Source organism: Homo sapiens, chromosome 5 (genome assembly GCF_000001405.40).
Source record: "Homo sapiens chromosome 5, GRCh38.p14 Primary Assembly".
NCBI classification, from domain to species: domain Eukaryota; kingdom Metazoa; phylum Chordata; class Mammalia; order Primates; family Hominidae; genus Homo; species Homo sapiens.
Genome location: NC_000005.10, coordinates 87,342,267 through 87,356,830, shown reverse-complemented (window position 1 = coordinate 87,356,830; position 14,564 = coordinate 87,342,267). Strand labels below are relative to the sequence as shown.

Here is a 14,564-nt window from a genome sequence, read left to right as displayed (position 1 = left end):
ACCACCACAATAAAGCCAGCCATATGAATTTTTTGGTTTCGCAGTGCACGTATAAGTTATGTTTACAACTATACTGTAGTCTACTAAGTGTGTAATAGCATTATGTCTAACAATGTACACGTGTTAATTTAAAAATATTTTATTACTAAAAACTGTTGGGGCAACCAAAGTGGCTCACAACTGTAATCCCAGCATTTTGGGAGACCAAGGCTTCTGCCTTGGAATTCAAGACTAGCCTGGGCAACAGAGCAAGACTCTATCTCTACAAAAAATATTAGCTAGGCACGGTGGTGTACACCTGCAGTCCTAGCTACTGGGGAGCCTGAGGCAGGAGGATTGCTTGAGCCCAGGAGCTCAAGGTTGCAGTGAGCTACAGTTGAACCACTGTACTCCAGCCTCAGCCACAGCGCAAGACCCTGACTCCGGAGGGAGAAAAAAAAAAAAAAATAACAATCATCTAGGACGTCAGTGAGTCATAATCTTTACGCTGGTGAAGGGTCTTGCCTTGATACTGATGTCTGCTAAGTGATTAGGGCAGTGGTTGCCAAAGGTTGGGGTGGTTGTGGCAATTTCTTAAAAATGAAGTCTGCTGCATCAATTGACTCTTCTTTCACAAAAGAAATTCCCTATAATGCTGTTTGATACCATTTTACCCACAGTTGAACTTCTTTCAAAACTGGAAGCATTCCTCCCAAACCCTCTTGCTGCTTTATCAAGTTAAGTTTATAGAATATTCTAAATTATTTGTTTTCATTTCAGTAGCGATCACAGGATCTTCACAGGAGTAGATTCTATCTCAAGAGACCACTTTCTTTTCTCATCCGTAACAAGCAACTCCTCTTTCGCTCCAGTTTCATCACAAAAGTGGAGTAATTCAGTCACATCTTCAAGCTCCACTTCCAAATTTAGTTCTCCTGCTACTTGTACCACATCTGCAGCTACCTCCTCCTCAAAGTCATCTTGTAGTCTTGAGCCCCTCAAAGTTATCCAAAAGAGTTGGAATCAGCTTCTTCCAAACTTCTGTTAATGTTGTTATTTTGGCCTCTGCCCATGAATCACAAATGTTCTTAATGGCCTCTAGAATGATAAATCCTTTCCAAAGGGTTTTCAATGTACCTTGCCCAGATCCATAAGTCACTATTTTTTGCAAACATAACATTATGAAATTATTTCTTAACTAAGGATTTGAAAGTCAAAATTACTCCTTGATCCATGGGCTGCAGAATATAAGCTGTGTTAGCTGGCATGAAAACAACAATCTCCTTGTACATCTCTATCTGAGCTCTTGATTGTAGAGGTGCATTGTCAGTGATCAGTAACATTTTCAAAGGAATTGTTTGTTCTGAGCAGTAGGTTTCAACAGTGGCCTTAAAATATTCAGTAAACCATGCTGTAAACAGATGGGCTATCATGCAGGCTTTGTAGTTCCATTGACAGAGCACAGGCACAGTAGATTTGGCATAATTCTGATGCTCCTAGGATTTTCAGAATAGTCAACGATAATTGGTTTCAACCTAAAGTCACCAGCTGCATTAGCCCCTGAAAAGAGTCAGTCAGCCTGACCTTTGAAGCTTCGAAGCCAAGCATTAACTCTTGCCATGAAAGTCCTAGATAATATTTTCAGATAGAAGGATGTTTTCTTTACACTGAAAATCTGTTGTTTAGCACCTTCAATACTTATCTTCTGGATAACTTGCTAGTTATCTTCTGGAAAACTAGCTAGATGTTCTGGGTAACTTGCTACAGTTTCTTTGCTTCACCGTACACTTTTATGTTATGGAGATAGCATCTTTCCTTAAATCTTATGAATCAATCTCTGGTAGCTTCCAACTTTTCTTCTGGAGCTTCCTCACCTCTATCAGCCTTCACAGAATAGAAGAGAGTTAGGGCCTTGCTTTGGATAGGCTTTGGCTTAAGGGAATGTTATCCCTGGTTTAATCTTCAATCCAGACCACTCAAATTTTCTCTATATCAGCAATAAGGGTGTTTCACTTTATTAATCATTCATGTGTTCAATGGAGTAGCACTTTCAATTTCCTTCAACAACTCTTCCTTTGCATTCACAACTTTGCTGTTTGGTGCAAGAGACCTAGCTTTCAGCCTATTTTGGCTTTCACCATGCCTCCCTAAGCTTAATCATTTCTAGCTTTTGACTTAATGTGAGAGACATGTGACTTTTCCTTTCACTTGACCATTTAGAGGCCACTGTAGGGTTATTAATTGGCCCAATTTTAATAGTGTTGTGTCTGCAGAAATAGGAAGCCCCAAGGAGAGGAAGAGAAACAGAACCAGCCAGTCAATGAAGCAGTCAGAACATACACTACATTTATCGATTAAGCTTGCAGTCTTCTTCAGATGCAGTTCATGGCACCCCAAAACAATTGCAATAGTAACATTAAAGATCACTGATCACAGATCAACATAACATATAATAGTGAAAAAGTTTGAAACATTTTAAGAATTACCAAAATGTGACACTAAGACACAAATGAGCACCTGCTTTGGAAAAACAGTCGCAATAGACGTCCTTCTTGCCACAAACCTTCAATTTGTAAAAAAAACTATCTTTGAAACATAATAAGGCAATGCACAATAAAATGAAGTGTGCCTGTATGTTAAAATGTGACAAGATTATGATTCTTGAATTTATCTTTAGCTTCAGATTAATGATTCCTCACCTCCCACCCCACCCCCCACCAATTAACTGCAATAAGTAGTAGCTATAGCCATGTGAAATGAATTTGTTAGGAGGAAACATCAAGAAACTAGGCACACTACAAATCACTGTACAATTGCAGCTGGGTACCCAAAACCCTTAATAATCCTTTATGTCCCTAGAATAACAGTACCTCCATTTTCCACTTAGGAAAATTATTAATCCGTCTTTTGAAGCACCTTTTTCTAACCCCTGTTATACCATTTCCCTACCATATACTTCAGAAAGTGCAATGAGGAAGAAACAGAAGCTAATCACCCTAAGCGTTAAGCAACTAACATTTAACAGGCTCTCTTGCTCAAGGCCAATCTTTCCTTTTATGTTCTAGATTCTATTCACTTTTGTCTAGGACCCTGTCTGTAAGACATTGCCACCACCCATCTCCCCATACAACTTCACTCTCCTCTTTACTACTATACAGTTTTCACTCAGAGTATACAGACATTCTCAAATCCTCTCACCGTAAAACTACAGGCAAATAAACAAAGAAAAAGTGTAAACCATTTTTTGCCCTAATCCTCTTCTATCAGTATTTTTTATTTCCTTTTATTACTCCCCAGGCTTTAATAATCCTGGCTGTGGTTTATCCCTGCTGTCTCTACTTTTGCCTCCAAAAAACTCACTCCTGGACCTACTGCAACTTACCTTCCTCCACGACTGCTTCTAATCTCAAAAAGCCACTAGGTTGTTCCTGATTACCTAAAATCAACATAGATAAAAACTAAAAGATTCTTACAGTTGACTTTCTAAAAAAATCTAAATAATCTGTAGTTTTAAGTTGTATCCAATTTGAATTGTACAAATGTGTGCAAAAACATACCACCAAAATGCATTTTAAAATAAAATGCTAATTATTGCAATAAGAAATGCAACACTGACCTGCATTGGTACAGGTTCCTTAAGATAATATCCTTCAACAATCTGTTCTTTTCGATAGTGATCTATGATGTCCCCAATGCTGTTAAAATAAAAATTTCTAGTATTAATCTGTCTCATAAAACTGCAAAATCTTTAAAAATATGTGTAAACTTTCTTGCCAAGGATTATCTAATTAGCAAATTTTTTTCAAAGCACATAACACAAATACATTAATAGAATAAATGATCATAACATTCATATTATTTTAGAAAAAACAATGTTCTCAATATAGATTTACAGGCCAGAATACATGGCCCAGATTCTGATTTTCCATACCCATCAAGTGGGCAGCCAGGTCAACAATACCATATTCAAAGAGTCACCATAAATGAGGAAATGATTAAAAGTCTACCTTTTTTTTCACCCCCAAGAGTATATATGAGATACTAAGAATGAAGAATTCACAGAAACATGGCATTTATTTAGGAAGCAGAGTTCAGGTAAATTAAGAATTTTTATTATCACATTTACACATACTGGTTTTATATCAGAAACAGGTCATAAAACACATGAAAAGCAGGCAAAAAGAAGAAAAAAACCCCCAGCTAATCTTACATGTAGGATTATCACTATAGGGAGAAAAGCTTATTATTTTGATTAAAAGTGCTACAAATTGGGAAATATTGGGAAAATATTACAAAAAAATAAAATGACATACTGTATTTTAATATAAATTTTAGTGAACCACGTATTTTTTTAAATATAAAGTTGTTTCTCTATAATCAGTAAGATCATTCTATTGTCCTGAATATGGAAATCTTGGAATTTTAAACCTTCCTTTAATATACTGGACAAATGGGAACTTTTGAGCCACCTAGGAAACACTTCTCCAGACAGATTTTGTTTAACCTTCTATATATATATAATTAGAATATATATGTGTGTGTGTGTGTATCTTCAAGTATGTTATCTTCCCTATACTACAAAGTTAATTTAAACCAAATATAAGTAATGTTAAAAACCAAAACAAAAGGACCTGAAAAGTTAACTAGTAGTGTATGAATGAACTTAATACCAGAAGCAGCATTTAACACAAGCCACAGAGGGGTGTGGTGAAAATGAGATAAATAAAAGCATTATTAAAAGAACAAGCAAGATTTTATGTTTTTAATAAAAAAATCTAATACCATATAAATCCAAAATTGTTAAAAGAAAAATGAAAATCAGGAAATATATTTGAAGATAGCTAGATTCCACTAAAGAGATGACTATGTGTTTTAAAGCAAAAAGCACCAAATCTATGAAAATCAGTAAACATCAAAGGTTTTTGGGCTCAGTAACTGTAAAATACAATCAATCCACTGTAGCACCTCAATGTTACAATATAATTGTTTTTCATAAACTGAGAGAACAGGAAACCATGGGGAAGTACAGTTCAGATTGTCCAGGAGCAAATTTAAAAGTGTGTGGCAACCAATCAGATAGGTTTTTACCAATGAGCTAGACTTAAGAGTTTTTTTAAAAATTACTCTTCCATTTATACTCTACGCAGAAACACCGAAATAAACAGTCAGGGGAGATAAACCAGAATTTTCTAGACATTCATATAAGTTCCAGCCATGAAATCAGACAGATTTACATCTCAGAAAACTAAAGCATATTCAATGTAAACTTACTTTTGAAATAAACGTGAGTTTCTAGAGACACTGTGTTCTGTATTTTAATTTTTGTAATGCATTTAGCACATAAAACCATGTGCACTCTTCTTCTTCAAGTCTAGATAAATGTTAATATTGTCTCCTCAAGGTCTAGCCAAAATCCATTGTCTTCCTTCTCACCCCCCACTGAACTCTCATTTATTGATTCCCATGCATTTATATATCCCCTGAATTTATCACATTCTGCATACCATACTTTCTTTTCTAATAAACCTGAGCACTAATAAAGAAGAAACTATATCTTTTTCTTTAATGTATTTACACAGAATTTGTACAGTATATTTCACAAAGTAGATAAGTCGATAAATGGCTGCTGAATTAAATTTGCTATTAAATGCCTCTTCTGCTTTTTTTTTTTAAAACTCTGAATATAGGAACATTAAAGTTATGTCTTAACAGTTTCTAAATGAAAGACATAACTACTATCCCTCTTTATCAAGGTCTCATGTTTAGTTAATGGGGAGATGGGACAGCAGAGTATGGCTGTGTTCGACAGATTTATTGAAAAATCTTTCTTTATACATTTAGATCTAACAATAAACAATAAGCACAAAGATTTATCTTCCTAGGAATTATTTCTGACATTACTAACATTAATGCTGAAATGAAATATATATTTCCAAAACAATTACAAAATCCTTCATTTTCACAGCACCTGATTCACATAATTTGGGGCTTTTTAAAGAAGTTTAATGTTAAAACTAGAAACAATAAGATGAATTTATAAACAAATTCACAGGGAAGAAAAATTATAAAAATCAAAGTTCTGGGGGAATGGTCAAGGCCACTAAATTAACATACATTTAACTTTTTTTTTTTAATCCTCATTTTGAAAACATAATATTGCAATAATTTGGACAGAAATCTACTTAAAATACTTCTTTTTTCATGTTCCATCATGGTGTTCAGCAACCAAAAGCGACTACCTTTACATGTTTTACCGACTTCCTCCAGTATGTAGGAAGAATTTCCAGTTTTGTGTGATGTATCATAAGGAAGTTTAAGTTAGTAACAAAACGAACTTCAAAAAAATAAATTCATGTAAATTATTTTATCTTTAAAAAGGATCTCAATATGGACATTTATTCAGTTAAGAAGATGATATATTTTCAGTGCATTATTTTGTATGTTCTAAATCTCCAGAAAACTGGAATTGGGAAAAATTACATTCTTAAAGAACTCAAATTGCAGCTAGCTGTATTTTCAGTGAGGACATCTAGAACTCAGATTGTCATGTATAAAGTACTCAAGCAACCTGTATATGAGGTAGGCAAAAGGGTACAGCTGCCTAGACTCACATCTTACATTTGATGTCTTTTAACAGTCAACTGAGCTTCCAGCAAGCAACTAGAAGAACTTGTTTTTGTTTTTTGGTTTTTTTCAGATAAACAAGCTACAGAATCTCTATTCACTCAAATGTCTAGTTTGACAAATTCTAATTCAGATAGAGAATACTGCTGTGGTACTGAGGGGTTAAACTAGGCAAATATAAGCATTTTAGAACAAGATTATGCCAGCCTCTGAAATAGGAAATAGAGAGTTATTAGTTATAGGAAAACCTTTACGTTCACAAATGAAGATTATTTTCTATTTGACTGAAAAATTGCTGACATTCTATCATATGGTTTCTTCTATTAACTTATTTTCCTAATCAAGTAACTATAATTCATTCTGAGTTTTGGGACAAACAATGAGTTTACTTTGAAAGTGAGAAGTAAAAACCAACAATCACATGTAAGAAATGTCAACTTGAGAAGAACTCAGTTACATGATAACATCTGTATAATAAGTCTCAGGTATCTTTAGAAACTTTTTTTTTCCTACTAAAGTATCTCACTGATAAAATAATGTTGATATATTTTCTTTTCCTAAGATATTTTGCTCCTCCTACAGATAACACATGGATTTAGTAAATTTGTTGCAAACAGCTTATGTCTAATTTTTAAAATCACAAAAATTGTTTTGGAAGGAAACAAAGTATAAGTTACTAATTTGTATTCATATTTGACACTGTCTAAAGAATTCTTGGGCATGACTACTATGAAATTATATTGAAGGTCTTATAATTTTTAGAAGTTAGAAACTTTTATATAATTTTGACTCTGAATACTGTATTATCAAGATTTCAACTATTTTTGCGAAAAGTAAAAGATAGCTAAAAAATTATGATTTACCTGTTATAATACCGGCCTCCCATCATAAACTGATTGTTTGGCGTTGGACATATTTTAAATCGCTGAATATTTTCATTGGTCCGGAAATAAAGTGAATAATCGCCAGGAGTATTATCTGAGGGCCTCACAAGAAAACTGCAGACTTGACCAACTGTAAGAATTAAGCTGTTAGTTTTTCCCTAATTATCAAATAAAAAAGAAAAGATGTTAAGTAGTATTATTACAAAGTGCATTCAAAGTCATAAACATATGTAAATTTTCACCAGGAACTTGTTTTTTTTTTAAGATAATTTCTTTCAAATTTTCTGGTTTATGATTCACAACCATCCACATTGCTTGTCTGCTATCTCTCTGGTGTATCTTACCAGCTTTAATACATAAAAATAGAGAGCAGAAATTTTGCAGCAGTAACTTCTGGTCAGTAATATCTACACCTGTCCTAATTTGGAAGGAACCTAAGCATAGTTAGGGAATACTGGCTAAAACTGCTAAATTCTGTATGTAAATCTTCGTAATAAGAAGATTCTAAAAAGTGAAGACCAGTTTGCTTAAGAATACTCTGTGCTTAATCAATGTTTTCAATTAATCATTAAACAGTAATGACTGTGCTAGGCACAGTGGTACATGCATATAATCCCAGCTATCCAGGAGGATCACTTGAGCCCAGGAGTTTGATACCAGCCTGGACAACACAGCAAGATCCTGCATCTTAAAAAAAAAAAAATTAAAAAGTAATAACTGTAATAAAATAGTACCAAAAGCTTTTTATAAAGGTAGATTCAAAACAACTGAAATATGTGTATACATTATCAAAAATCAATACACATACACTATATTTTATTCAATAGGTATGCTCCTGAAAGGAATTATAGAAGCAAATTATCATATATTAAATATGACATTAATTTTAGAGAAGTATTTCTGATATCTTTGATTGGCAGTGACTCATAATACATAGATGCTCTGCCTTTTCTCCATTTAAGTTCAAATGATCCAGAAAAGATCAGGACTTGATTGTTTTTAGGAAAGCACAATGAATGCTTAGATTATTAGATATAATTTGAGGGGTAAATTACTAATAGTTCCAATCATCCAATCAAGGCACTTATGAAGTAACTTCATGTTCAGTAAAAAGAAAAAAATAAATCTCCTTAAACTGAATCTTCAAGGCTTAATACATAAGTAAACATAAAAATTACAGAAATTGATTGTATAATATGGGCTAAAATGAAAGTGTTTCTAAGTTGATACAACAAATCTTACTGACAAGAATCCAAGATACTCTCTAAATTTCTTCTAGAATATGATAGGAATTTCATGCAAGACTGTGCATGCAAGTGCTTATTTGTACTTCTCAGGAGAGAAAATCCCACCAGATCCTCAAAAGAGCACATGACACAAAGAAAATGCAAACTAATGTATTAAGGAAATTAAGTTTAGCTCCTTTTCAACCTTGTATGACTTAAAACAAAAGTACCTCAAGTACTTGGTGGTACAAGTTCCAAAAAAGAAACATATCCAAAATTCAATAAATTCACTAAACTACATATTTTTGGTTCCACACTGAAATAGCTGACAGAATGTCATTTTAGTTTAAAATTTCTTCTCTATTACTATCATATAGCATTATCATAATCTTTTTTAACTTATTTTTTGAACCTACTTAACCTACAGCTTCACAATAAAATTGAGTACTTCAAAAACTATCTCAAATCTTTCAAAAGAATAAAGTATTAATTTAAAATGCAGTGCTTTATGGATTAAAACAATTCAGATTACCTCTATAATTAGGGTTATCACCACAAGAATCTATTTCACCAAATATAGAAACTATTGAATAGTCAACATTTTTGAAGAACTGAAACTTTTAAATTACATACTAAAGCTTAAACTTGTCTGAAATCTTTATAAGATGTGGTTTGCCAAAGAAATGCTCGGTATTTAAATTAATTCAGCCTTAAATATTTAGTAAGAATAAACAATGACAGGATGGTTAAAACCACAATACAAGTCAATTTTTACTTTGTATTTATAAGCATAACAGTTTTGGGAAATGTTAAAATTAATACATACTAAATAAAGCTCAATCATATAATTCCACAAGTATACAAAGATAAATACAAGAATGTCTGCTGTAGCTGAACAGCAAAAGAATAAAAACAATACAATATCGTTCTACTGAAGACTAGTTAATTATGGTATTTATATAATGAAAAGTTTAAATCCATAAAAGAGAGTAATGAAAGTTTTTATCTGCAGATACAGAATCATCTCCCAATATATATCTAACATGAAAAAAGTGTGTTGCATGTTCCTGTCTGTGTATGTGTAGGGGTGAGAAAGATTCACAGAGACACAGAAAACTTCTAGAAACATATGGGAAAAAAAACTGTCACCTAGTGTTACTTCTGAGGAAGTGGACAGGGGCCTGGGGTAAAAGAAAAACACACTTGACTAAATTTTATAACACATGTATGTTTAAAATATAAATAAAAACACCAGCTTCTTAGTACTGGACACGAAATTATAACATGCATAAACACTAACTGAATGCTAAAGGCAAAACACATGATAAATGGTTTGTTCACTTTTTTATTCTCTTTAAATAGACATTAGAAAAGCAAGTAAATATGTAAGTACCTGTCATTAGTAAATTATAAGCTTCCTGTTTGGAAATCTTCCCATGGAACCATCTTAAAAAGAGAATAAATTAGATATATAAATAAAGTCCTTTTTGCTGTTATCATATGATCAAAATTAAACAACCAATATAGTAAGTTTAATTCAAAGTGATAAAATAAATGCAATTAATCAAATCATCTCATTCTTATTACATTTTAATACATTTTATATACATATTATACTTAATTTCAACTAAAGATAGTAAAACTAGAAACTATCAAATATAAACTACAATTTTCATTACCAATACAAAAATGGCAACAATTTTTAATCCTGATAATAACAGACTGTTATAGGTCTTTTTTTTCTTTTTGTGGGGTAAGGGGAAGGAGGAGTAGTACAGATAGAGCCTACTCCAGAACTTCCCTGAAAAAATTAATGAATTCATTTCTGAATTTTCCTATAACATCTGATAAATTCTCTCCTCAAATAAAATCAAGATATTGACTCTTACTTTGCTGAAAGTCAGAATATAAGATTGGGTGATAAGAATGAGTGGATAGCACCATCAAGAACTGAAAGAAAAGAAGGACTTAGTGTTCTCAACTCTATTTGAGCTAACAGCCTATCAAACTAGGTTGCTATGTATTTTATATTCTGTATTCTTAAATTAAGCCTTTAGAAATTATTATAAAAGGCATCATAGTCAAGACATAGAGCATACAATAACCTAAGTATTTAAATTTTACCTTCAAATAAAAGGATATATCTGATTTAAAAAGTAATTACTAGTCATCAAAGTACATAAAATCACCTCTTATTTACCTAAAGGCCTATTATCTATCTTGCTGATTAACACATCTTAATGCCAGGCTGACAATTCCCGATCACCTATCTACTACTTTGTGGGATCTTCTTAGGGTCTACAAGTATTTTTAATAATAAAGAGCAAGCTAGAAAGTAAATATACGACTAAAATATATAAGTGCTCAAAAGTCCAGTGTGACAGGTTCAGAGGTCATTCACATTGTTTTAAATGATCCATACAATTATTACTGGTGAAGTATGAAAATATAACTGAATTTTTAAATTTTCACATGAATGAAAAGGTAAACTTTTCTTTAACACCATTCCAAGCATTAACTCACTGATTCAGATCTCCTGGTGCTCCCTGTGTAAATTTTGAATAATATAAAGCAAGAATACAACAACTAAAACAGTTCAGACTACAAGTAGTGAGGTTCTATACTGCATTCAAGTATAGGCTAAATGACCACTTACTACAAATGCTAGAGCAGGATTTTTATATTCTGGAGGACAGTCAACTACATGACCTGACCTCCAAGGCTAATCCTCTACTTCTACAGTTTGAAAAAAATTCAAAAAAAGAAGGGTAAAAAAGTGATAGGGTTTACAGATGAACAAGATTATTTAGCATAAGCACACAGTCTGAAGCCAAAGTGGCAATATCTCTTTCTAAAGAGTTTTCGTTTCATTTTTCAGACATTTATTCCCATATAAAATTTATATATTTCAACCACATGGTTTGCAACAGTGATAAAAAGATGAGTCCCTGCTCTTATAAAGTTCCTACTCCTAGGCCAGGCGTGGGAACTGGGATCACACCTGTAATCCCAGTACTTTCGGAGGCCAAGGCAGGAGGATCTCTTGAGCCCAAGAGTCCAAGACCAGCCTGGCAACATAGTGAGACCCTAACTATAGAAACAATGTAGAAACTATAATAAGCACAGTGATAGGTATTGCCAAAGGCATTTTGGGAGTAACAGAGAAGGGTACCAATACTGTTGAGTGTGTAGAGAGGAAAATAAAGGAAGATTTTCTAGGGGGAAGTGATGAATGAGCTAAGTATGAATGGAAGAATTCTGGCCTAGGAAGCAGCTTGAGCAAAGGTATAAAGAAAAATAGCTAGGAGCAATGGCTCACACCTGTAATCCCAACACTTTGGAAGGCCAAGGTGGGAGGATCACTTGAGGCCAGGCGTTTGAGACCAGTCTGGGCAGCATAGTAAGACCTCATCTTTACAAAAAAAAAAAAAAAAAAAAATTACAACATTTGCCAGGTGTGGTGGTACACACCTGTAGTCTCAGCTACTCGGGAGGCTCAGGCAGGAAGATCACTTGAGCCCAGGAGTTTGAGGTGAACTATGATAGCACTACTGCACTCCGGCTTGGGCAATGGCAAGAACCTATCTCTAAAACAATAAAGAAAAAAGTATTATGAATTTGAAGACCTACATGCTGGAGATTAGGAAACTACAGATGATAAGTGCTAGGAGTAGTAAACGACAAAATAACCAGATAACAGATCATTTTTTAGGCTCTGCTAAGGTAAAGGTGGAGAATCAGTATAAGATTCAATTTTTTAATTTTTATTTTTTCTGTTTTTATGGGTAATGTATACAACTATTTTGTTTATTTTTATGGGGTACCAGTGATGTTTTGATACAAGCATATAATGTTTAATGATCAAGTCAGGATAAATGGGGTATCCATCACCTCAAGCACATATAATCATTTCTTTGTATTAGGCATATTCAAATTCCACTCTTTTAGTTATTTTTAAATATCCAGTAAATTAGATCTTATTCATTCTATCTAGATGTATTTTTGTACCTATTAATCAGCCATATTGTATCCCCCCTTCCCTGCTACCCTTCCCACCTTTTGGTAACCATCATTCTACTATCTATCTCCCTGAGTTAATTTTCTAATATTTTGCACCCATATGAGTGAGAACACATGGTATTTGTCTTTCTGTGCCTGGCTTATTTCACTTAACATGGTATTTGCCAGTTCCATTCATGTTGCTGTGAATGACAGGATTTCATTCTTGTTTATGGCTGAATAGTATTCCATTGTGTATATGTACTATATTTTCTTTATCCATTCATCCACTGATGAACACTTAGGTTGATTAAACATCTCGGCTATTGTGAATGGTGCTGAAACATAGGAGTGCAGCTGTCTCTTTGATACACTGATTTCCTTTCTTTTGGATATATACCCAGCAGTGGGATTGCCGGATCATATGGTAGCTTTATTTTTAATTTTTTGAAGAACTTCCATGCTGTGCTCTATAGTAACTGCACTCATTTACATTCCCACCAACAGGGTACAAGGCTTCCCTTTTCTCCACATCCTCACTAGCATTCATTATAGCCTATCTTTTGGATAAAAGCCATTATAACTGGGGTGAAATGAAATCTCATTGTAGTTTTGATTTGCATTTATCTGATGATTAGTAATGAATGGTGAGCATTTTTTCATATACCTGCTGGCAGTTAAGGATAATGTGATTCAATCTAGGTAGATTATTCCAGCTACTGGAAAAAAGGATTTGATGAGGCTAAAGAGTCAAGGGAGATCAACTTGGAGGTTACTGTTATATCAAATCCTGGCAGGAGATTTAAAAAGTCCTGAACTAGAATGTAGTTATTTAAGATTTGAGAAGGCGGTAAACATTTAAGAAATACTTTAAGAGATAAAGTCATCAGGACTTGGTGCCCATATCATGTAAATAGGGAGCTGGAAAGAAATTCAACCAAAGTTATACCATCTATTTAATCTCAAAGGTTACTTGTAGATGTTACTGAGGACACTTTAAAGAATTTAAAGTACTGCGACAGTCCCTATATTAGGAAATTAAAGGGAACAAACATACACATAAAATAAACCAACAATGCAAATTTAAGTTATGCCCCAATTAAGAAATTACATAAAGTTAAGAAAAATGGAAGAATGACAATGCTATCAGATAAAAAGACTTCCGAGTGAAAGTGGGATTTATATTTTATACTATGAGAAAACTGATGTAGCTTTAAATGTTTACTAGCATTTAACCTATATTTTTAAATTTAAAATTCCATTGCTATTATCTAAAATAAAAAAACCTAGATTTATGGTCTTTTTTTGAAAATCAGAAGGATCTAACAACACTAGACTCACATTCCTACACATATCAACTAGACAACTAGACAAAGTGATTACCTTACAATAGGCAAACACTTTCTAGTTTTCTACTTCCCACAGTTTTCCCTAACACCGTGAGTGAATATTAGTTGCCATTTATTACCACACGTACAGTGTTGTTTTTTGACAGTAGGGACACAGTTCCATGTACCTTGATCTCTAGCAACGAGGGAAAATAAGAAAGATCAAGATTATTGTGTCTAAAGAAAACTGGGAATATATATACTTGACCCGCTTCACTTGCTTACATTGTCTGTCTGATTCTTCCAAGCATTAATTAGAATTTGCAACTCCTAGCTGGGCACAGTGGCTCATGCCTGTAATTCCAGCACTTTGGGAGGCCGAGGCTGGTAGATTACTTGAGGTCAGGAGTTCAAGACAAGCCTGGCCAACATGGCAAAACCGCATCTCTACTAAAGGTACAATAACCAGCCTAGCATGGTGTTGTGCGCCGGTGGTCCCAGCTACTCAGGAGACTAAGGCAGAG

The 14,564-nt window shown here is 33.6% G+C and overlaps 2 protein-coding genes across 6 annotated transcripts in view; one reads left to right on the top strand and one right to left on the bottom strand.

Moving 5' to 3' along the window:
- Positions 1–14,564, bottom strand: part of RASA1 (RAS p21 protein activator 1) — a 124,034-nt gene that overhangs the window by 35,086 nt on the left and 74,384 nt on the right. For both annotated transcript variants that reach the window (NM_002890.3, NM_022650.3), the window contains exons 7-9: positions 10,107–10,159; positions 7,467–7,617; positions 3,596–3,674 (exon numbers count right to left, since the gene is read on the bottom strand). In NM_002890.3, the coding sequence (NP_002881.1) occupies positions 3,596–3,674; positions 7,467–7,617; positions 10,107–10,159 (283 nt within the window). The remainder of the gene's footprint in view (positions 1–3,595; positions 3,675–7,466; positions 7,618–10,106; positions 10,160–14,564) is intronic.
- CCNH (cyclin H) overlaps positions 1–14,564 on the top strand; it is a 101,460-nt gene that overhangs the window by 56,100 nt on the left and 30,796 nt on the right. The gene's annotated exons all lie outside the window — the stretch shown is intronic.